The sequence below is a fragment of the Homo sapiens genome, chromosome 3 (assembly GCF_000001405.40).
Source record: "Homo sapiens chromosome 3, GRCh38.p14 Primary Assembly".
NCBI lineage: Eukaryota > Metazoa > Chordata > Mammalia > Primates > Hominidae > Homo > Homo sapiens.
Window position 1 is genome coordinate 16330138 of NC_000003.12, and position 24910 is coordinate 16355047.

At 43.3% G+C, this 24910-nt stretch overlaps 2 protein-coding genes across 18 annotated transcripts in view, besides 3 other annotated features; one reads left to right on the forward strand and one right to left on the reverse strand.

Moving 5' to 3' along the window:
* The window catches only part of OXNAD1 (oxidoreductase NAD binding domain containing 1), an 86884-nt gene extending 64926 nt beyond the window's left edge, over positions 1–21958 (forward strand). For 4 of the 8 annotated variants that reach the window (NR_148220.2, NM_001330671.3, NM_001352983.2 and 1 more), the window contains one exon: positions 6975–9758. The gene's annotated coding sequence lies outside the window, so the exon portion shown is untranslated. Of the gene's footprint in view, positions 1–6974; positions 9759–14837; positions 15107–15870; positions 16303–19038 lie in introns of those variants that run through there. The other 4 variants (XM_011534230.4, NM_001352982.2, NR_199631.1 and 1 more) reach the window with 3 other exon arrangements.
* RFTN1 (raftlin, lipid raft linker 1) overlaps positions 1–24910 on the reverse strand; it is a 197855-nt gene that overhangs the window by 14293 nt on the left and 158652 nt on the right. The gene's annotated exons all lie outside the window — the stretch shown is intronic.
* Positions 1205–1499: an enhancer, noted in NCBI's record as "tiled region #2856; HepG2 Activating DNase matched - State 6:EnhF". NCBI's record gives its function as "activates a minimal TATA promoter and a strong SV40 promoter by Sharpr-MPRA in HepG2 cells {active_cell/tissue: HepG2}" and the evidence as "EXISTENCE:reporter gene assay evidence [ECO:0000049][PMID:27701403]".
* Positions 6079–6578: an enhancer, noted in NCBI's record as "H3K27ac hESC enhancer chr3:16377723-16378222 (GRCh37/hg19 assembly coordinates)". NCBI's record gives its function as "activates a minimal SCP1, AML or CMV promoter by ChIP-STARR-seq in primed H9 embryonic stem cells {active_cell/tissue: H9 hESC(primed)}" and the evidence as "EXISTENCE:reporter gene assay evidence [ECO:0000049][PMID:30033119]".
* Positions 8161–8220: a silencer, noted in NCBI's record as "silent region_14115". NCBI's record gives its function as "represses an Ori minimal core promoter by ATAC-STARR-seq in GM12878 lymphoblastoid cells {active_cell/tissue: GM12878}" and the evidence as "EXISTENCE:reporter gene assay evidence [ECO:0000049][PMID:35858748]".

Consider the following 24910-nt stretch of genomic DNA (forward strand, 5'->3'; position numbering starts at 1 on the left):
AAACAACCCTGCTTGAGAGAGCTGAAGGTTCAATCTCACGTGTTAATTTCTGGCCATCACATGGTGAGTTGACAAGTAAAATACAAATGGTAGGGGTGAGATGTTGCACTCTGCCAGACTCTCCCACTCCGACTATTTGGAATGGTCTTGGCTTAATTAATGTTAAATGTGATTTTCCGTAAGCATCTATCACAGCCCGTTTGCATATTTATCAATATAGTAAAGAGATGGCATTTCTAAAATACAAGATGAGCCTGTCAGTGAAAGACACTTTTAAGTCCATTAGCTAAGAAAGGTGGTAGGAAACATATCCGGATGGAAGGCTCTCTTTGATCTGCTTTTTTGTGACACTCCAGTGAGGAGAGAAGAAAGCACCAACAACACTCAAAAGCCAGCCTGCTTATCAAACAAAAAGACATTTCTTTCTCTGAGTAGGAGCAAAAATTTTAATTAACTCTCCACTCTCCTGTGGTGGATACGTAATCTCCGATCACACCTGGAGTGTTAAAAAATGGAGCATGTCCTGTGGTTTTTCAACTCGTATAAAAGGAATTCATTTGTATTTATGGCTCTTTTTTCCTTTGTTCCCTATAATTTCTCCAGTGATTGCAAATCAACTAAAGAAATAGACATCCTACACAACCTTTCTTTACCCTCCAAAAATTAGGACAACAGAATGTAGAGTTTACTAAGAAATATGTTTGTCTTTTGATGATTTAAAAGATCTTCTATGCAGAGAAATAATTAGGAATTCATAAATTGGTCCAGTGAGAAAGTTTGCATTCTGAATGTCAGTTTGCTCTTCTTTTCTCCTGTGTTTCATCCTGTGGAAGCAATCTAGGAGAAAAGGAGTTTGAAAGAAAATATTTTGCTCTTTATACATGATTGTAAATGAAGAAAGGAATTTGATTTCCCTTGTCTGAAAGGTGCTTGAGACCACTTCTGGGGTGTTCTCCATACCTGAGAAAAGTGACTGGGGACAGTTTGCCTCTATTCCTGACATCCACAGGACTGAGACCTTGCCTTTCACCAATTAGGGTATGTAAGGGAGAGTCCTGCAAAAACTACTTCTGTGTCTTTTGTAAAATTGCTACCAAAACACTAGTGCCCACAAATTACTGGCAGGGTGTGCTTATACTACTCTTATTTTACTTATCAGTTTTAGGTATCCTAATTTTCTACCATGGGAAATAAAGGTTTAGTGCTCCCATAAACATTTCTTATTTCCTTTTTCTTTGTGCTCCAAATGGTTATTTTGTAATTTAAAGTAAATCAAAAGTCAATGTTTGTGTTATCACAGTTTTGCAAATATTGCTCAATGCTGGGTCAAATAATGCACTATGACCATGCCTTCTTTTTTATATAACCCTCTGTTTTTCCTGGAGTTAATTATTACCTCCATTTTTTTCATCTTCCTGGTTGTACCTGAACCCATCACTAATTTATCCCACATGTTGCAATACCCCTATTTAATGCTCATCGATAAATATTCCAAGATCCTAAATACATTAGTTCCATTTTTCCCCACTGGAGACATCATTTCTGAAACTTTGCTCTAATCTGGTCTGGCTGCTTTTCATGCCTGGGTTCTTCGTAAATTACTGTCTATGGCTGGTATGTTCTCTTTTTTTGGTTTCCTTCTCATTTTGCAGGAGCACATCCTGTAGTGACTCTCTAGGCAACAATGCCCTAGAAGTCATCTGAATCCGTGCATTTCTAAAAATGCCTTTGTGTTAACTAATAGTTTAGGTACAGACGTCTGGGCTGAAATTGATTTATCCGTCAAAATTTTGAAAGTACCTCTAGTAGTTTCTAGATGTCAGCAATGCTATTGAGATAATCTATTCTGATTACTAATATTTTAACTGTAACCTGTTGTATTGCTTTGAAAGTTTTTAGGATTTTTTTTTTCTCCCCTAGAAGTTCCGGAATTTCATGACAATGTGCTTTGGTGTGGGTCTTTTTTACTCAAAGGATTGTTCACCTGATGGCCTTGCAATCTGAAGATTCTTGTCCTTCAGTTCTGAAAAATGTATTTTTCCCCCCTTTGATAAGTTTTCTCCCCTCCCTTTTCTATCTTCTTTTTTTCTGGACCTGCTATTAATCAAAATGTGTGATAAATGTTTTAATTTTATTACCTTCCCCCACAGTTTTCTTACTCTTTTAATTTTGCTTTCTGAGAGATTTCCTTCATTTTGTCTTCCAACTTTTATGTTTTTTAAATTTTCTGCTGCCCTATTTTTAAGATTCAAAAGCCCTTTCTTATCTTTTGATTGCTTCTTTTTTTTTTTTACAGCATCTTGTTTTTGCTTCATGGATACATTTATTTTATCTCTTTAAATGGTTTCTTCTGATACCTACATTATCTCCACGGTTCCCAGGTTGCATGTGACAGAGATGGGGAACTAGGGATCTTACCACGCCACGTTAGGATTTTAAACCAGTACCCTGGTTTTCTGCTCTGCAGTTCACATCCCCCAACCTCCCATCCCATGGTGATTTATGCTTTGAAAACCAAAGCTTTTCTTGGGTTCTGCAAGAAACAAATGGCACCCTTCTCGTCCAGGTTGTAGCTTCCTTCATTTTGCTAAATTAGTTAGATTCCTCTATCTACTTTCCATCTATCTAAAAATTTGTTGAAATCACTCATCTTCTACTTTATCTTCTTCTAATCTTTTTGTTCTTGTGGGCATCGATTTATCTACCTACCTACCTACCTACAATTGAACCTCATTATTCTTGGTAGCTATGTTCTGTAAAGTCATTGTGAACAGTGCATTAGTGACTATTGAACCATTGCCCATAAGAGAAATATAGGGTTAGGGTCTTGGAAGCATCTGGTCGCAACAGTTTTGCAAACTGATCAATATATAACCTTGTTTAATAGATAGTGTTGATTCATGAACATTGAACTTGCAGCCAACAGCACTATAACTCATGCCTGAACAAAGCTCACTGGTATTTGCTTTGTAAAGCACATCATAGCATTCCTGCACTTAGGAACACTAGGCAACAGTACTTCAGCACTATGCATAGGGGCTATTTTTAACAGCTAAATCACCAACAAAAAGCACAAAAATGTGAAAAATGTGGCACTATGTGTACCACAAAAAGGACACTTGCTTTTAGTATGAACATTGAAACCAGGCACAATATTACCTTGTTTGACCTTAGCTAGAAAAGTGCACATTAGGCAACTCAAAATTTTTGCTGTTCTGCACATGTTTGCAAATGGCCACAAAATGCCATTTGTATTGATTTTGGGATTACAATAAATTTTAGTAAGCAGATGAATTTGCAAATACAGAATCTGAGAATATGAGAATTGCCTGTATCTATCTAATTATGTCATTCCTTTAGTTTCATTTCATGAGGATTTTTCAGAAAAGAAATAGATGCCTGTGTCCAATCCCCCTCATTTAATAAAATGTTATTATTTTAATGTTTAAAGTGAACACTGGAAGGCCTTTCTAAATAACTTAGAATCCAGAAACCAAAAAATAAAAATGACAAATTTGATTACATAAAAACTCATATGATATAAAAGACAAATGACAAAATGGAAAAATGTTTGCAGCTCATATTACAGAAAAAAAAGGGCTTGTAAAAATTGAAAAGAAAAAATCCAATAATCCAAATTTTAAAAGGGCCAAAGATATGAAGAGAGATCACAGAAGATTCAAACACCCACTAAGTGCATGAGAGAAATGCAGAATCTCATAAGAAAAATGCAAATTAAAACTACCAGCCGGGCGTGGTGGCTCACGCCTGTAATCCCAGCACTTTGGGAGGCCGACGCGGGTAGAGCACGAGGTCAGGAGATCGAGACCATCCGGGCTAACACGGTGAAACCCCGTCTCTACTAAAAATTTAAAAAATTAGCCGGGCATGGTGGCGGGTGCCTGTAGTCCCAGCTACTTGGGAGGCTGAGGCAGGAGAATGGCTTGAACCTAGGAGGCAGAAGCTGCAGTGAGCCGAGATCGTGCCACTGCACTCCAGCCTGGGCGACAGAGCAAGACTCTGTCTCAAAACAAAAACAAAAACAAAAAACAACAACAAAAAATACCCTGAGATACTATTTTTTCACCTATTGAACTGGTAAAAACCCAAAAGTTAGGCAGCCCGCTTTGTTGCCAAGGCCGTGGGGAAGCATGCGTTCTTGTACATTGCTAGTGGAAGGGCTCATTGATTCAACCCTCCTGGAGAACAGTTTGACAGTATCTTTCAAAATTACAAACACATTTTCCCTTTGACCCAACAATCTCACTTCTGGGAATTTAACCTACGTATTAAAAAATGAGAAATGCACAGAGTTATTCACTGGAGAGCGGTCTGCAGTAGCAAGACACTGGAAACTACTCAAGTGCCCATCAGTGCTGGATTTGTATTTAACATTATGTTTCACCCAGACAACAGCTCAGAGAACTGGGCAATGGCTGCTCATGTGTTGAGCCGGGGCATACAGGATGAAGAGGGACAATGAGAGGGAATGAATTCTATTCTAGACACCCTGAGTTTGAGGAACCTATGGAAATGTCCAGGAGGCAACTAAATGAAACAGCCTGTGGTAGACAGAATAATGGCCCCAAAGATGTCTACAGCCTAATCCCAGGAGCCTGTGAAAATGTTCCCTTCGCATGGTAAAGGGATGTGGCAGATATGATTAAGCTAAGGATCTTGAGATGGAGAGTTTATCCAGGATTATCCAGGTGTGCCCAGTATAATCACAGGGGTCCTTATAAGGACAGGCAGGAAGGCCAGAGTCAGAGGAAGAGATGTGATGGCAGCAGCAGAGGCTGGAGTGATGCAGGGAAGGGGCCACGAGCCAAGGAACATGGGCAGCTTCCAGAAGCTGGCAATGGTCGGTAACAGATTGTCTCCTAAAAGTCTCCACAAAGAATGTGGTCCTGTCAACACCTTGGTTTTAGCCCCTTAATACTCATTTCAGACTTCTGACTCAACAAATGTAAGACAATAAACTTGCGTTGTTTTAAGTCACTAAATCTGTGATTTGTTGCCGCAGCAACAGGAAATTAATCCACAGCTCAGGGCCAGGAAAAGGCTGGGATGGGGATAAACACTTGGAGGTGCTGACAGATGCAGGGTAGGTGAAAACTCCTGGAGGGATGAGGCTGGCTGAGGGCTGGATTTCCTTGTGAGGGGGTGAGCAGAAGATGAACGAAAATGGGCTGAGTGGGAAGGAATCAGCCCTTGGACAATCCTGCATGGGAAACAGGCTTAAGAAGGGAGTTTGTACCACATTTTCTTTATCCAGTCCATAATGCTATGCAGCCTTAAAAAGGAACGAATCACGTCCTTTGTGGGGACATGGATGGAGCTGGAAGCTGTTATCCTTAGCAAACTAACGCAGGAACAGAAAATCAAACACCACATGTTCTCACTTACAAGTGGGAGAGCTGAACGGTGAAAACACATGTGAAAACACATGGACACATGGTGGGGAGCAACACACACTGGGACCTGTTGGAGGTGTGGGAGGAGGGAGAGCATCAGGAAAAATAGCTAATGGATGCTGGGCTTCATACCTAGGTGATAGCCTGATCTGAGCAGCAACACACATGGCACACGTTTACCTATGTAACAAGCCTGCATATCCTGCACTTGCACCCTGGAACTTTAAAAAAAAAAAAAAAAAAAGGAGTTTGATCACACCATCAAATATCTCAAGAGGGCAAGTCACAAGGAGCCTGGAAACTGGATGGATGGATGGTGAGGTCTCAGGAGGCCACAGGCAGGACTCCGCAGGAGGGAAGTGGCCGACAGCAAGGACTGGTGGCAGCTGCTAGTGCAGAGGAGGCAGAGCATGCTGGCGCCTTCTCAGGGCTGCCTGGGCCCTGCTCAGCACACGCTGGCTATAGCGGCACTCGAGGAGGGTAGAGGTCCTGTTCTCCTACGGCCATGGAAAGTGGAGATCTAGAGGCAGGGTGGACAGGAATGCCAAGACAGAAAGAAGGGCCACTTCACCTCTACCTCTCCCTAGCAAGTGGAAGGCAGATGCTGGAACACGGCGGGCAGTGTTGCAGAAAACTCCACGTGGCCCTCAGGATGCTAAAGGGCAGGGCTATGCCTGGTATCACTGTTCATTCATGAATCTCACATTCAGTCAGCCTGGCTCTGTCTGTGCCACTTGGGAAGCCTCTTCTGCCCCAGGAGATCCCAGTCTAGGGGTGGGGAGAACAAGCACATGGTTCCCATCCAGTGGAGCCCATGGAGGTGAGGTGGAGGGAGGGAGAAGGGAAGGGGCGACCTGCTGCTCTGTGGAGAAACAGCAAAGCCCTCTGCAGCCAGCACAGCTGGCCTTCCTCACCCTCAGCCTCCCAGGCCTCTGCGGGAGGGAGGGACAGGCACGCTGGCCGGCTAGAGATGTTGTTTTCTCCTTTGTTTTATGCACAATGCCCCAGAAAAACATTTTGCTGATATGTAATCAGGACAACATAATAGAGTCTGAGAGAGCAGTCTTCTCATTTTAGACAACTTAGGCTTTCATAATGTTCAAAGAGAATAATTTTTTTTTTTTAAAAAAGCTTAGTTCTTAGATGCAGAAAAGGGTCAGAGGAAAATACATGTAGTGCATAAAAAGCTTCAGTTCTGAGACTCTTTACCCACCCAGTGCTGGTGAATTCACATCTTTGTCTCATTTTCTCTACCAGGTAAGAAAGGCAGCAAACTCAGTAGCCTTTTAGGAGCTCAACGAAATAAAAAATAATAATTGTTATTATTACATGAAACATATTGTTTGGAAGAATGGTGTCTATTATGACTTCCCTGTGTCCAGGCCACTTTCCAACACAGCTCGGCAGCTCCTCCCATAAGAGGGAGAGTCCCTCTGGTCACCCCTTGAATCTTGGCTGGTCTTGGGACTTGCTCTGACAAATAGGATATGGCAGATGTGACATTACGGTCATCCTGAACCTAGGCCTCAAGGAGCCTTGCTGTTTCTGCTCACTCTCCAGGAACCCTGCCTACGCCATGAGGACAGGCCCAGGCTAGCCTTCGGATGATGAGAGACCTGTGGCCCTGCTAAGCAGCAGACGTGAGAGATGCCATCTTGGAGCTGCTAGCTGTGGTCCACCCATCAGCGCCTGCAGGCACATGCTGAGATTAGTCGATTTCCTAAAAGTTGAAGGAAAAATCACCCAGCTGACCTGTTTGGGTTATGATTTTAACTCACTAAGCTTTGGGGAGCTTTATTACACAGCAGAAGCTAACTGGTGTATTACTATTATTACTATTATTCTAAGAACCAAATACCAGGCAAACCTCTAGGAGGAAAATTGTAATGAAAGTCACCTCATTGATTTGTGGCCGGGCTCAGTGGCTCACGCCTGTAATCTCTGCACTTTGGGAGGCAGAGGTGGGTGGATCATGAGGTCAGGAGATCGAGACCACCCTGGCCAACATGGTGAAACCTCGTCTCTACTAAAAATACAAAAATTAGCCAAGCATGGTGGCAGGCGCCTGTAGTCCCAGCTACTCGGGAGGCTGAGGCAGGAGAATCGCTTGAACCCAGGAGGCGGAGGTTGCAGTGAGCCCAGATTGCGCCACTGCACTCCAGCCTGGCGACAGAGCGAGACTCCATCTCAAAAAAAAAAAAAAAAAGAAAAGAAAGTCACCTCATTTGATTTGAGAGAAATACAATGATATAGTTACTGCTGAAGGGGAGTGTTCCTAATTTGTCACCACACTCAAGGCTGGCACACCTAGCCCTTATTTGCTCCAGGCCGGACACTTTGGCCTTGCATTACCTCTGGAGCCCTGAAGTCTAATTTATGATAACCTACTGTGAGGCCCAGCAGTGCCACCAGCTTGCCCTGGAAGAGAGAGATAAAAACCCACACTGGGTAGATCGTCCTAGCTCGAGATGTTGCCCTGGCTTCTCCTAAAGCACCATGCCAAGCTGGCAAGAAAACCAAACCTGCATGTGCAAGATAACATTCTCCTGGATTCTGGGACACGCTGGGTGATCTGGTCCTGGTACATGCGGTTTCTCTAACGTCAGTTACTTGGAAGGCAGAAAGAAGAAAGGGGCTACGGGATGGAAGGGCAGGAGATGGCATGCATCCTTATTATCAGGGGTGTCTGCCCACACACACCTGCATGAGCAGAATGAGAACCAGGCAAGGCATGCAACCACGCAAGGCTCCTGATCACAGGGAAGGTAATGAGGCCGGACATGCGGCGGCTAAGGGGCGATGGCTGGGGCCAACTCTGACCCGTAGCAGGGACAGGCACTGCAGTTCTGACTGTGGTTAAGCAACACAAAGCTGCCACATCCTGTCAGCTGCTCATCGGGACCACGTATGCAATAGCACAGGGCTCCTGTCCTCTAGAAGCTGACATCTTAAACACACATTGAGTGCTTCAGGGTGAGGGGGTCCTCCCAGGCCAACTTAGAAATAGCTTTGTTTGATAACAATTAAAAAAGAAACATTTTCTCCATCCAGAGACTTGCCAGGTCCCTCCTACTGGCTTTGATGAGAGAGAAAACTAGGCTTTCTGGGAGTAAATGGGACTTGCTACTTTATTACTCTCTTTAGACTATCAGAGATGAATGAGGGATCCTATATCATATCTTTAGCCCTTCTTTCTGATTTTTCACCTTATGTATTACCTAGAAAAGAGAAAAGGGATTGAAAAAAGGAGCTTTTCCAAAGTGTATAATTAAAAAGTTGTTTATTTTGGAGTTGGGGACCTGGGGAGAGAGCCAGTCTGTCTGCAGGAATTCTAGAACCCAAAACTGTCAACGTTGTCCCCTCCACCTGTCAGCAGTGGATTCCTAACAGCTTACTGATAATCATAAAATGCAAACCCAGAAGAGGTCTCTGAATAAAGGTTGGTTCAAAACCTTAAGAGACAGGGAAATGGAGATTAAAGATTATTTCACTGTCCTAGCTAACAACGAACAGAGCCACACAACACACCATGTGCTGGGCTGTCACAGTCTTGACTCACTAAGGAAGGGATTGGGTAAGACATGGGATTTCTCTCTCCCTAACTTTCTCTGCCTGGTAACTTCAAAGGTGCCACATTCTCAAGCCATGCTGGAGCAATCACAGTTGGCCAATATTCTCTTTGTGGTGACTCAACTGTCAGTATCATGTTGCTATGGCTACCACAATTCTCACTCAGCCCTCCCTCCTTATGCTCTGCTCTTATTTAAACCAAATTGCATTGCACTAATCCCACAGCATGCTCTTTGAGGACCCAGCTCTGATAGGGCTTCTGAGGTGCCAGAAACCTCCAGCTGGAATATCCTGCCTTCAGGACACATCAGACATCTGGCTGTTCATTAGTCCAATGTTACAAGTCCTGCAGTCCACCTCCCATTCTATCTGGCTCCCTGCTCTACCAGAGACAAATCCACCAGAGCCATAACAGATGCGCTGCCGGGTCCCCATCAGCATCTGCACTGAGACCTACCACGGGACAAACCAATGATGAAAAACCCAAAGTCCAGAAAATGAAAATGGTCTCAGAGAGACTGGCCAATCCTATTTGGGGTCCTCTAGAAAATTCTCCCATCACTCTTCCCTGTCCTACCATTTCCACATATTGATCATGACTTGGTGCTTCGTTTTTCTGCCCCTGCACTAGAACACAAACTCCACAAAGGCAAGGAGTTTATCTTGTTCTTGATGAATCCCAGGCACTTAAGGAAGTATTTGTTCGATAATTAGTTGTTGAGTGAGTGAATAAATGCACCTGTCCTAGCATTTTGTGGGTAGGTTCTGCCACCATTGTCTTGTACTCTCAAAGTCTTATCAAAATTGCTGTAAATCATGCCTAAAATGAGACATGAGTTTGCCACCAAAAATGTGAATTAATTTGCCAGGATGCTGTGTTACCATTTTTATGGGTATTTTGCATGTGGAAGTTGGAAGTATATTCACGTATGAAAATTAGACACAGTCATGTACTGGCCATAAAGCACAAGGCCATTATTTAGCTAGCCACACACAAACTTGTTTCTTCCCTGTTTCTGTTCCATTGCCACGCATTACAGAGGGTCCTATCAGGAGGTAGTGCCTGTTTCTCCATCTCTTGACTCTGAGCTGGTTTTGTGACTTTCTTTGGCCAATAGTACATTAACAAATATGATGCAAACCGCAGCATGAAATAAGCTAGCACATTGGGGCTTGCCCACTTGCTGCTTTTGGGAATCCTGTGGCTGCCATCCTGTGAAGAGGTTCAGGTTAGCTTACTGAATGTTAAGATACACAAGGCTCTGTTCTAGCCAACTGCCAGACATATGAATGAGGCCACTCTAGATCATTCAGCTACCAGCTGACATATGAGAGAGCCCAGCAGAGATCAGCAAGGTTGCCCTATGGCTGAAAAATTGATCAGATGACCTAAAGAATCATGAGCTAATACATGGTTATTTGAAGCCACTAAGTTTGGAATGGTTAGTTACACAGCAGAAGCCAACTGATAGAGACTGAAAAACAAAACATCCAACAAACATTTAATGGAGATGAGTGTTTCTGCTTCTTTCAAAGTTACCTTGTCTTTATACAGGAAGGTAACTCTGCAGTTATAGATTTTAAATAGAATAATGCTTTTGTGCTAATCCCTACCCCTCACCTTCTTGTCCAAACCGTTTCTGAACAACATCAAGAATTTTCAAGGTGAAGTCAAAGGTGAAATTTGTTTCCGTGGGATAAAAATTCCCTAGTTTCAAAAAGTAAGGCCCTCAAGAGAATGAGAAGACAAGTCAAAGACTAGGAGAAATATCTGCAAAAGCCATATCTGATAAAGGACTTTTATCCAAAATATACAAAGAATTCATAAGACTAAACAATAAGACAACAAACAACCCAATTTAAAAATGGGCAAAAGTTCTAAACAAATACCTCACCAAAGAAGATATGCAGGTAGCAAATAATAAGCATATAAAAAGATGCTCAACATCATATGTCATTAGGGAAATGCAAATAAGACAGTCCACCTTAGAATGACCACATTAGAATGGCCAAGATCCAAAACACTGACAATACTTAATGCCGGTGAGGATGTGGAACAACAGCAACTCTCGTTCACTGTGGTGGGGACGCAAAATAGTACAGCCACTACAGAAGACAGTTTGGCAGTTTCTTACAAAACTAGACATACTTTACAATATGATCCAGCAATCATACTCCTTGGTATTTACCCAAATAAGCTGAAAACTTTTGTCCACACAGAAACCTACACATGGCTGTTTATAGCAGCTTTATTCATAATTGCTAAAACTTGGAAGCAACCAAGATGCCCTTCAGTAACTGACAGAGAAACTGCAGTGGAACCATACAATGAAATATTATCCAGCACTAAAAAGCAATGAGCTCTCAAGAGATGGAGGAGCCTTAAATCCATATTACTAAGTGAAAGAAGCCAACTGGAAAAGGCTACATACTGTATGGGAACTCTGTAGATTCAGTTCAGTTTTGCTATGAACCTAAAACTACTCTAAAATATAAAGTTTATTTTTCTAAAAAAAAGTAAGGACCTTGAATCAAAACTGACATGAATTACTATACAAGAGCAAGAAAATTGAAGTCAGCAAAAACCCACCAATGGAAAACTAATTAAATAAATTAAAATTTTTCATAGATTGAAGTACTCTATGGCCATTACAAATAATGAAGTAAAAGCCTAATAACAGAAACATTTTCAGCATACAGTTACATACAAAAATGTATAACAGTTTGAAGAGTATGATACCATTTTTGTAAAAAATATGCAAATATAGATAGAATATACACAGGAAGGATTATCCTAAGATGCTATGCAGCTACCTTCTAGTGATGCTGAAAGTTGGGGTTTACTTTGCTTTCTTTTCTTGACCTGTATTTTCTAAATTATCTTTAATGACCACTTGTCACTTTTTTCAACATCTTTATTGATATATAATTGGATATCTTAAAATTCACCTATTTAAAGCAAACAATTCAGTGGTTTATAATATATTCAGAGTTATACAACCATCACCACAATCTAAGTTTAGACCACTTTCATCACCCCCCACACCAATACCCTGTACCTATTAGCAGTCACTCCCCTTTCCCCCCACCCACCCCGAGGCAACCACGAGTCCACTTTTTGTCTCTATGCACTTGCCTCACCTGGATATTTCATATAAATGGATTCATATAATATGTGGTCTTTTGCAACTGGCTTCTTTCACTTTAGCATATGTTCAAGGTTCATACATGTAGCATATATCAGTAGTTTATTCCTTTTTATTGCAAAATAATATTCCATCATATGGATATACCATAGTTTATTCATCATTTGATGAACATTTAAGTTGTTTCTACTTTTTGGACATTACAAATAAAGCTGCCATCAACATTAATGTACATAGGTCTTTATGTGGACATATGTTTTCATTTCTCTTAAATATAGGGGTGGAATTGCTGGGTCATATGGTAACTATGTTTAACATTTTGGGAAAGTGTCCATGGATCACTTTTATAAAAATAAAAAAAGTTATAAGAATGAAAGCAGAGGCCTCTTGGCCTCACTAGACTAGTTCTCAAGCCTTCTTAAGTCTAATTTGCCAAGCCTAATTTGCCACTTCACCCGAAAAGGATGTTTAAAGAGGCCACTGATTTAAAAGCTCTGTGTCAACATGCATGCCCAGCTTATTCAAGTTGGAAGGGGTCAGGGTGGACCTCTAGTCCAGTGGCTGCTAGGCCTGGCTGAATTTTTTACATGCAGTTCCCTAATCTCCACCCCGAAGACCCACTGACTTTGAGTCTCGATCTCAGCTCACTGCAGCCTCAACCTCCCAGGCTCAAGTGAGCCTCCCACTACAGCCCCTCTGAGTCGCTGGGAATACAGGCACACACCACCATGCCCAGCTAATTTTTATTTTTTTAATGTAGAGAGACAAGGTCTCACTATGTTGCCCAGGCTGGTTTTGAACTCCTGGGCTTAAACAGTCCTCCCACTTCAGCCTCCCAAAGAGCTGGGATTACAGGCATAAGCCAGCCAGCCAGAATGTGAATTTTTAATAAGTCCTCAGGTGATTCTGAGGACTAGCAAGGTTTGGGAACCACTGCGCTAGTCCTTCCTGCCTAAAACATCACTCCTAATTAGTGGTAATGGAACATCCAAGTCACACCAGCATCTGGGAGTTGACAGTCCTAGGCCCCAGCCACTTCCTCTGCTAAAGAGTTCCACATACACTCTCCAATTAGACCTAGTTTTTCCCTTACAATCAACAAAAACAGTCTACTTCCTTCCTCATAAGTCAGCCCTTCAAAGATATGAGGAAGCCAGCTACCTGATTACCCTTGTTTTTTCCTCCTCCAAGATAAACATGTCCAATTGTTTCCCACCATTTCCAGGTGTCTCCCGCATCACTGTCACTTTCACCTGTACCCTAGAGTCTGCTGATGTTTCTCATCAAATATGGTGGTCATGGTGGAACCTAAGACTCTAAGTCAGCCAGCACTGGACTGAAGAAAACAGGGAGAAGTCCTTCATGCATGTGTTTTCATAAATTTGGTCAAAGATATCTGTTCTAAGCAGTGCTAACCTCATATTATCCAATTATTTATTCAATCAATGTTTGTTAAAAACCTGCAACACAAAAGGAACTAATGTGGATCCAGAAACCATGAATATAAGGAATGGCTGGTCCCTGACTCAAGGAGTTTGCATAGCAATTTGATAACTTCAGTAATTCCTAGGTAAGGTGAAATGTGGTTGTTTCAAAAGGAGGGGAGAGCAAAGCCAGCTGATAGTCTTATAGATGGCCCCACAAAGCTGGTGGCATTAGGGTTGGGCTGGAAATGACGAGCAACTGCCTCAAAAGTGAAGATCTGAGGTGGAGCAGGGTCTCAGCAGAGAGTGAGCAACCAGAAAGAAACATGGGCTGTGATCTGGAAATGTTCACTGGGTCACAGCCCAGAGCACTTGGAGGGAAGCAGTAGAGACATTCTTGGCCTGTATTAACTCTTTTTCATTGGAATTGCTGTCAAATCAGGTATGCTTCATTCTATATTATTGACTTTTTGGAGCTTAAATACAATTTGTTGATACTTAAATGTATTCCTATTACATTTTATTGGGCTGGTTTTTGTCCAACATTCATATACTAAGAAGTAACAGATTGGAAGGGGTTTAAGAAGTCAGGGAAACCTACTCAAAAAAGAAAGTGGATTAGATCAGTAATTTTCAAGGTTTTTTTTTTTTAATTAGTAGGATGCTTCCTATAGGCATCAACTATAATCTAATTTAGAAACAACATGTAAAAACAGATACATTCAGAAAAGGCGGCTCTGGTTGACACTGGCATGGGTGGGTGGTCCAGAGTCTTCCCCACTCTCAGACCTGCCCTGGCCTTCTTCCCCCTCGCCCAACTAGAATGCTTTATGTGGAGCCCAAGAGCATCCATGTTCTTATTCTTAGATCCCAAGGGCCACCCAAGGTATTCTGTGGCCTCCCAGAATCAGGTCTCTTCAGGTCCACCACCTTCTAGATCACTGCACAAGCCCCTGAAAAAGATGTGAAACAGGCCAAGGCACAGGATGGCATCAGAAAGCTCATGAAGACAGACCTCCTCCCAATGAAAGCACATCGTTGCCAAGTGCGGCCTCTCAATCAGTTATACACCACCCATAGGCCCTTCCTTTTTATTTAGTTGTATTAAAAGCCTTGGCCAGGTGAATTTCAAAGAACATATTTCAAGGAGTGGTAGTGAGTGAACACATAACTACAAGAACACCCCCCAACCTTTTATGCTCACTGATTTAATATACTTCAGTTCTCTCTGGAGAACCATTTGCCCTCTCTTCATCTGTGGCTCTCAAACTATGCATTTTAAGCTCTTTTAGGGGGCCACATGGAAAGCATAAGAAATGGGGGCAGCCCCCAGGAGCAAGGACCAGCTCCTGGATAACTGCCTGCAAGAAAACAAGGACCTCAGACCTGCAACCACAAGGCCAACAACCTAAGTGAGCTTGGAAGTGGATTCTTCCCCACCAAAACCTCTAATAAGGCACACAGCTCTGCTGACATCCCATTTCAGTGTTTTGAGACCCTAAGCAGCAGACGACCCAGTTCAGCCCACCTGGATTTCTGGCCCACAGAAACTGTAAGATAATAAGTAGGTGGTTGTGTGTGTGTGTGTGTGTGTGTGTGTGTGTGTGTGTTTAAAGCTGTTATAGAATTATCTCCCACTTTTTTATCTCAAACACATTGGGAAAACCTAAAGATATAGCCCCTGTTATCACATTGAGCCCTTAACTTGCCACAGGATGCATAAACATTATTTTTGGGCATGTTGTGAGGGTGTTTCTGGAAAAGATTAGCATTTGAATGGGTCAACTGAGTAGACCAGATGGCCCTCCCCAGTGTGGGTGGACACCATCCAGTCATTGAGGACCTGAACAGAACAAAGGGTGGAGGAAGGCTGAATTAACACCGCCTGACTGCTTGAACAGGAACGTCCATCTTCTGCCCTTGTTGCTCCTGGTTCTCAGGGCTTGGGACCTGGACTGGAGTCCACACCATCAGCTGCTAGCTCTCAGGCCTCTGAACCATACCACTGGCTTTCCTGGGTCTCCAGCTTGCAGATAGCAGACTGTGGGACTCCTCAGCCTCCATAATCACATGAGCCAAAACCTTATAATAAATCTCTGTGTGTGTGTGTGTGTGTGTGTGTGTGTGCGCGCGCGCGTGCGCGCACGCGCACATGTGCATGTGTATGTGTATAATCTCCTACTGGTTCTGTTTTACTGGAGAACCCTAATACACTTCTTTCTTGTTGTTCTGTGGCATACACTGAATATTTTAAACCGCATTTGTCACAGGATTTTGAAAACGTGATCATTTGTTTCATCCTCTCTTCCTCTGCAGCAAGAATCAAAATTCACTTTGCCCCATGATCTTCACCAGAACGGCATACTTGCCTCTCCCCTCGTCAGATTGAAAAGGTTCCTATGATTTAGGGTCTTCCAGCACCCCTCAGGAAGCTTGACAATGAAGAGGAATTATTGATGAATGTGGAAAGGCCAGGGGGTGCACATTCATTTTTAATGACTACACACCTTCCCTTGACTAAATGGAATCAATCCTTCCTGCCTGAATTTCATCCATTCATCATGCTCTCACAGTGGCTGACACACAGTAGGAACTCAATATTTATTTGTTGGATAAATTTTTAAAAAGATATAACTTACTTGTATCACTAAATTTTGTATATGAAGTGAAATATGGCTGTCTGAGAAAATAGGACAATTGAGTTTATGGAAGAAAAAAGTGCAGATAAAGATTAAAGGTCAAATACTTCCTTTTGTCATCTCATTATCCAAACCGTCAACAAGTCCAGTCTTCTTGAAAATACCTCTAGGAGCATCCTGCCTTGCTAGTCCCCCTCAGTGGCACATTCTGTTGGCTGCCAAAGCCAACAGCCCCTCGATGGCCCAGGGCTTCTTCCTCACTGACACCCCCCAGGCCTGGACAACCATGACTCTTGACAAGTGGCATGGGTCTGTGACTCAGTCCTGGCCAATGAGACCTGAGGAAATCTCTGTTGTGGGTTTCTGGGAAAGCTTTTACTTGCTAATAAAAAGGGACGTGTGGCAGGAAAAAACTGCCCCGTTCTTCACGGTTGTCATCACATTTGCATGAGACACCTAGAATTGCCACAGTCACCTTGTGAGGAGGATCATAAGGAGAGCCCTGCAGACAGGCTGAGGATGAGTACAGAAAGATGGCAACATCTGGATCCCTGGTGGCATCTTTAAGCTGTTGACAAAGCTGACTCTGCAACCTCCCCACCTTGCTCTAGACTTCCTGCTCAATGAGATGAGATGAACACCCCTACGGCTTAAGCCACTTTTAGTTGGATTTCCTGCTATGAACGGTGGAAAGCAACCCAACTGATACCCATGACCACCACCCTTATTCTATTTCCCTGGGCTTCTGTTGGCCTTTCCCCCATTCTGGCCCTTTCTCCAGGGCCAATTGTCCCAGTGTACAGCTCTCTGATGAAAATCCCACTATGGCTCCCTTCAACCCATTGCAAAAATCCAGGCCCTTGCCTCACCCACACGGTCTTCCCCAGACTTTTCACATGCAAACATACTGTCAAGGACACCCTACAGGGCAACCCTGGAGAGACGTCCATGCATGTTATATCCATTTTCTAGGGGGGGCTATAACAAATGACCACAAAATTGGTGGATTACAACAATAGAAATTTCTCACAGTTCTGGAAGCCAGAAGTTCAAAATCAGTATCACTGGGTCAAAAGTCAAGGTTATAACAGGCCCATGCTCCTTTTGGAGGCTAGGGGGAGAATCCGCTCATTGTTTTTTTCCAGCACTAGTGGCTGCTGGCATTTCTTGTCTTGTGGCCTCACTACTCCAATCTTCAAAGCATTTTCAACTCTCTACTCTGCCTTCACCTCTATGTGTATAAAATCTCCCTCTGCCTCTCTGTTACACAGATGCATACCCACCTCTGTGTGCACACTCACCTCTGTGTGTACACCACCTCCTCTCTGGAAGGAGCTTTCTCTGTGAAAGGGGAACTAGGGAATTGAGGGTCAGAGGAGAGAGGAGGATTCAGTCTTTACTATATACACATTTGCACTGTAAGCATTTTGTTTAAAATTATTATAAAGCCTCCAATAACTTTTATCTCGATTTGCAATGTAATATTCCTCAATGGGACTTTTTTACACATGCTCTTAGGTCAGGTTCCCTATAAGGAGACCCTAAAACAAGTATTCACGTGCAAGTAACTTATTAAGGATGTGCTGCCAGTGAGGGAGCGGGAGAAGTCGTACAACAGAGTAGAAGCAGCCCAGGAAGGACACAATTTTAAGAACATCCCGTGACCAGCGGCTCAGTCTGATCCTGTGGGGAGCTCTGAGGGGTGAGTTATGCTCAGAGTTGTCCCCATCTGAGGCCAGGGAGCAGGGCTTTCATACACCCACACTCCTCTGTCATCGACGAGGACCACCTCGGAGCACTTGTGGCTCTTGTTGCTTAAAGCAGGGCAGGCTCCTGGAGCTCAGGAGCAGGGCTTTGCTAAGAGGCACAAGTGCTGCCTGTTTGAGGTGAAAGCATGATGGTAAAAAGGAAGCCGAGGCATCTAGATCACTGACATTATCCATAATCAGAGGCGTCTAGGAGATCACCCACATTATCTATTATTGAAGGCATCTAGGAGATCATCCACATTATCCAATATGTGTTCTAATTATAAAAAAAAATTAATAGATGTGCCTTCTCTTCCAGCTGGCCTCTGCTCCTGTCACTTCCCACAGCAGGAAGCCCCCACACTCAATTCCCTTAGCCCATCCAAGTCCTGGCTTGACTTGCCAATACCCAGCTGGAGCCCACTGTGTCCAGGAGGCCTTGTTCAGTCTCTGCTCTCTCCCAGGGCACTTCTGGTCAGCAGGGCACAATTAGCCTTGAATGCCTTCCCATTTCCTTTGTAGGATGTCTTCTTCCCGAGGCTCCTTGATGTGTGGGGCCTCAGCAAATGCCCCTTTGCATCCTTGTTCCTGGGCATCAAAAAGTAGTCACTCTCTTTGAGCCTATGGAGTTTCCCAGTTCCCTGAGGGTTCTGTTATGGAACCCCTAATCACCATCTCAAGTGGTTCTTTCTCATTTTTTATGTACTCTTTCATGGATTAAGTCCAGCCCACCTGCCCCACTGGGAAGCAGGAGGACTGGTTTTGGTCCAATAGCCCATCATCTCTGTGTCCTGCCACTGCCACAATCCACACACATTTCAGAACACCCGAGCAAGTGGCTGCTGCCAAGGAGGAGGCAGAGGGAAAATTCTGGCTAAAAGAGGTAAAAGAGGGACAGACAGCCATCCCAGGCTCCACTATCCAAGGACAGGGTCAAAGTTTCAGATCAGAAGTCAGGACTCAATAATCAGATCATGGCCTTTTGGGGTCACTATTTCTAAATGTAATCTCTTCCCCATCATTATGGGAAGGGAAATGACTTACCTGGGCAACACAAACTGTATAAACTAAGCTTTTCTCTGTGACGTTCCTAACAGCAGAAGAGTACTAGCGGCCATCTCCAGAGACAAGAAGAAAAAGAATTTCAGAGGCTCAGAGGAAAGTTCAATATGGCCCCATGGCAAGAAATACAGGCATGCTGGCTCCAGGTGGACTTGTCACCCTAAGATAAAAGTTGGAGGCAACTAAGGAAAACCACTGTGGCTGTAGAGATGGATGAGTGTGAATTTATAAGGACAGAAGGGGGTACCTGAGCCTCCAGGGATGGTGACAAAAGTAAGGCAAACCCAAAAGAGGAGGAATGTTGAGCCTGGAATGAGCTGAGGTGTGCAGGTGGCGTGAGGTATACACACATGCACCTCAGCCTAGAATGAGATGAGGTATGTGAACTACGTATGTGCATGTGTGCACACGTATACACATACGCCATTTAAAATCATGCTCAAAGCAAGAAGTTGCACAAGAAAAGGGTATGTTCAAGACAATAAAAATGGGATTATTCAACTCCTATTTTACTTGCTTTTCTACAAGGAGACAAATTTGGCTAAAGTCTAAGAGACTGTGAAGTTTTCTCCCCATTAATGGCATCACAGCATTTGTATCTGATTCATCAGGATTCTCCTGAGAAAGAGAATCAGTAGGCTATCTTGTATCTAGAAAGATTCATTTTGAGGAACTGGCTTACATGACTGTGGAGGATGTAAAATCCAAAGTTTGCAGGGTAGCCCAGCAGGCTGGATATTCCAGCAGGAGTCGATGTTGCAGTTTTGAGTCTGCAGGCTGAATTCCTTCCTCTTCCGGGATCTCAATCTTTTTTCTTAAGGCCTTCAACTGATTGAAGTCCACTCACATTAGGAAGGGTAATGTGCTTTACTCTTCTACTGAGTGGAATGTTAATCACATCTAAAAATACTTTCATAGCAACATCTAGATTGGTGTTTGATCAAGTAAGTGAGTACTATAGCCCAACAAAGCTGACATAAAATTAACCATCACAGGACAATTCTGCAACTTAATTTTCTCGTTTAACATTTCCTGTAATTCCTTCCATGTCAGCTTATACAGAATGACCTCATCTATAATAAGAATATATTATCCTTTGTTTAACCATTCCCCTACTGATGGACATGAACATTATTACCTTTTTTGATATTACAAGTAATGCTGAGATAATATCCTTGTCTATGCCTTCTTGTGAACACATGCATTTGTTTCTTTAGAAGAGATGGACATGAAGTATGAAATTGCTGAGTCATGGATGGGCGTGGGCATTTCAAATTGTTAACAGATGTTAGCAGTTTGCCCTCTGAAGCAAACTTGAAAATTTTAAATGAGCTCAAGCTGAGATGAATCACTTTTTTTTTTTTTTTAAAGGAAAAGGCACTCATCCATACATACTATTCTGTAAACAGGTGTGTAACTGTCAAGGTGAGTGGCACACAAGAATTTGATAAAAGTCAAAGTACTGAAGGCGCTGCTAAAGTAGATCTGAGGCTATTCTGACTTCCTCGTTACTCACCTGTGCTATGATTTGCTTTGCAGTGGGAAAGGATGGAGATGCAGCCTGGGAGGGGTTTGGGTGTTGATTCCTGGGCCTTTCATGGGAGTGATTATTCACAGGAAAATCATCCCTATCACAGGAAAAAGGCAGAGAACTGCTGTCTTTGGCACTAAAGACTATGATCTCAGAACCAAAGTAATTATCTTGGAGAAACTGTGGCAATAGAAGAAAAAAGCCAGATGGTTTAAAAAGAACAAATATTGGCTCCCTTGTGAATTCTAGAAACCATAGAAATTGATGTTACTCCCTGGCAAATCCTAGAGTGGATTCTTAAAGAGATGGTTGGGAGCCTTTGAAAGCAAAAGCTTGAGCCCCAGAAACCTGCAGAACTTCATGAAGAACAAGTGAGACCTAATGTGTTATTACACAGGATTCACAGGATTATGAGACAGGGTTACAGGCCAGAGTAGGTTTCAGTTACAGAAAAGTGTGTCATCGAGCCTTTCATGTAAATACAATAGAGGAATGGAAGATGGAACAACAGGGCCACCTGAATCCACTGCAGAATGGTTTGGGTTAGTGTCAGGCACTGGTGGAGAGATTCCTGCAGCGCGCCAAGGACTGTGTCCTTGATCCAGTCTGTTTGCCATTGAGACCAGTCAGGAGCCTCCATACATATGAAGCCTTCAGGGAAGCCAAGGCTGGAAGATCCCCAGAATGAAGGATGATATATCCATGATCAGAAATGTCTTGACAGGCTGGGGAAATGGGCAGAAGCGAATAGTATGAAATAAAATGGGGGTTAACTCAACAAAAGATTGAATACGCAGGCAGAGAGTGGAGAAGAGCTGACTCCAGAGCCTCATGACAAAGTCTGCGGGGTTGCAGAGGCTGTAATGATACCCTAAGCCATTCTACCTGAGGCTGTACTTGCAGAAATACAAGTCCACCCTGACAGAAGTCAAGTCCTCGCAGGTAGCAGCTGCTTTCTAGGATGCTCATGCCCTTCTGACCTCACCAACTGAGCACTTCAGGGGTAAGCTGTATATAAGTTAGACCCATTATCCTAATTACATGTCTTAATTTAAATGATTTAAAAGCATATAAACTATAAGTGCAAAAACAAGTTGTTTCTCAAAAAACTAAGTTGAATTCCTTGAATAGACTCAGCAAAGAACAATCACTAAAAAGTAACAACTGGCTGAATTAGGGGTGTGTTGGGTGAGGGGACTAGAAAGACTAGAAAAAAAAATCATGAAAACATGGATTCTGCAGTCAGATTCCATTGATATTTTAAAGAAACTGACACTGGGCATTGTAGCCAGCACACTTTGGGTGTGGTTTATATGAGAAAGATGAGGCAGAACTCTACTTCAGCAGACACTCAACTCAAAAAGACTGGCAAATGGACATGTATTTACATACTTTACATTCAAATAAAATGTGTAAGATAGGAATCTGATTTGCTTTGGGTCTCTTTAATTGGCTTTTTCAATTAACCCACCAGCCACCATACCAATTGCATCAGCTGTAAGTGCTTTTTCTACTCTCTTATGTTCCATTCTGGCACCAAATTTCACGATAAGCACTGATATGCTAGAACATATTCCAGGGAGAGGGATAAACATGGAAAAGGCTCTATGGCTCAGGTAGCACCTGGTGGTGTCTATAAGCTCTGATGGGCTGTCAGGCTCAAAGATAAACAGATTCAGAGGGAAGAAGAGGGTCTCTGTATCTTGCTCTTTACCTATTCATCTATGTAGTTTTTTCCTTTCCTTTCCAAGAATTACCCTTTCTGCTCACATACTAGACTGTAAACTCAAAGAAAGTAAACAAAATACCTGTTATAAATGCCCTATGGATAGACATTTATCTTACAAATGCCTTTAATTTTAGGCTGTAGGTTTCCAACCGAGCAAAATGCAATTATTTGTATTTGACTCTACAGGTTCCCTAGCCCAACCTCCTCTGTGCTTTTAGCATAAAACGAAGGCAATGGGGGGAGGATCTGTCTCACTGATGATACCAGGTGACTGACACAGAAAGCAGTATGTAGTGAGGGCTTACTATGTGCCCAGTCCTACATTCACAACTTTTTAATATATTTTCTCTTTTAATTCTCATCAATTTTGAGAGGTTGTTACCAGTATCCCCATTTATACAACTGAAAATAGAAAAAGCAGGTGTGGTTTACTTTTCACATAGTCTGTCACTCAGCTTGGAATCAGAGAGGCAGGATGCACACTCAGGCCAGACTCTGGAATCTCCGCTGTCTTGCCAACGTGCTGCACTGTCCGCACACTACATTTTCGTGTGTCCATGCACGTGAAGAGAGAGGGAAGCCAGCGAGACAGGGTGGAATTGGAATGGCACATCTACACAGAGCTGAGGGATCAGCACAGGAGGAGGAAAGAGGCAGGAAAGGGACAGACCAGTCCCCACTGTGAGACATGAGAAAGAGCTGGGCAGGGACGTTTTGTGGTCGGAGAGCTAGAGATTATAGGCCTGCCTGGGAGGACAGTGGTTACCAGAAAAGCAGAGTTAACTAGAAGCCAAAAGGGACCTGCTCAGGCCTTAAAAAGGAAAAATCTTTCCCAGAGGCCAAAAGGGTGGGGAAAAGAAGTAGCTGGGTCTCAAGGGTAGAAGACGTGAGAGCTGGAAAAATGCCCCCAGCCTTAGAGAGGGGCAGGCAGGAGAGGGGCTGTCTGCAGGCCCAAGTCAGGGTCTGACGGAGCCTCTTCAAAGAGCTGAGGTGCGGGGGAACCTGTCCCGGACTGGACATTGCTGGGCTGTGCTGGTTACAGAGCTGTCTACACTTAGTTCCCCTAAGACAGGGATTCTCAAGGTGGGGTTCCCACACCAGCAGCAGCAGCTCACTTGAAAATGTTTTAGAAATGAAAATTCTTGGGCCCCATCTCAGAGCCACCGTTAAAGACTAAATGTTTTCTATCCTCCCACAATGCGTATGTTGAGGCTCCAAGCCCTAGTTTGGCTGTATTTGGAGATGGGGCCTCTACAGAAGTAATTAAGGTTAAATGAAGTCATACGCATGGGACCCTGATTGAACAGGATTAGTGTCCTTATAAGAAGAGACACCAGAGTAGCCCCCTCCCACCTGTGCGTGCTCAGAGGCAAGGGCATATGAGGATACAGTGAGAAGGAAGCCATCTGCAAGCCAGGAAGAGAGCCCTCACCAGAAACCAAACCCTCCCAGAACCTTGATCTTGGACTTTTCAGCCTCCAGAACTGAGAGGAAAGAAATTTCTGTCGTTTAATCCGTCTAGTCTGGTATTTTGTTATGGCAGCCCAAGCAGACTAAGACATCCATTGAATAGGAAATAGGGGTAGAGCCTGGATAGCTGTGTTTTAAAAAGTTCTCCAGGTGATTCTGATACAAGCTCAATTTTGAGAAACACTAGTCTACCTTGGGCTGAACCAAAAAGCCTTCAACCCAATCAGCAAGCATTTACTGGAGTGCCTTGGAGAACAAAGATGAATATTCCCAGACCAAGAAACTCACAACGGAGGGAGGAAAGTGGACAAATAACAAGGATAGAGTACAACAGGAGCTGTGATAGGGTCATGCCCAGAGAGTTATGAGAACACAGAGGAGGGGTCTTTCACCCTGCAGGAGGTGACCTAAGAGCTGACTCCTGAAGGTTGTTTCCACCAGCTGCAAAGAGGAAAAGAAACCCATAAACCAAGGAGTTACAGTCTTCCCACAAGATCTCTCCTCCATCTGCTTTCAGGAGATGTCAATCTCAGAGGCTGCGTTAGCCTGACTGCGTGGAGCAGAAACTTGAGACAGCACTGGGCAGTAAGCCTGAAGGTACTGAGGATGCCCAAGTCACCTCCTTTGACACAGTTCTGTCCCCCAGGCATTGACACTCCAGGCCTCTGATGGGAGCAGCAGCCTTGATGATCTCAGAAATGCCTTCAGGTCTTCCTTTCGTTGTCTTGGTGAATAGCATATGGCATCCTTCCACCAGCACCAATCTCCCTATCAAACAGTAGCCTGGCCAACCTTGGTTTTGTCTTCTGAATACACTTTCTCATTCTTGACAACGAAGCCAGGCTGAGAATTTTCACAATCTTTAAGCTCTGCTTCCCTTTTGATTACAAACTCCATTTTCAGTTTGTTTCTCTCTTCCTGCATTTTACTATCAACAGCCAAGAACAGCTACACTGCACCCTGAACACTTTGCTTAGTGATTTCTTCCACCAAATATCCTAGTTCGTCCCTCTTTGGTTCTGCCTTCCACAAAGCGCTAGGACACGAACACAATTTAGCCAAGTTCTTTGCCACTTTATAATAAGGATGGCCTTTCCTCCAGTTTCCAATACCTTGTTCCTCATTTCCATCTAAGACCTCATCAGAATGGCCTTTACTGTCCATATTTCTATGAACA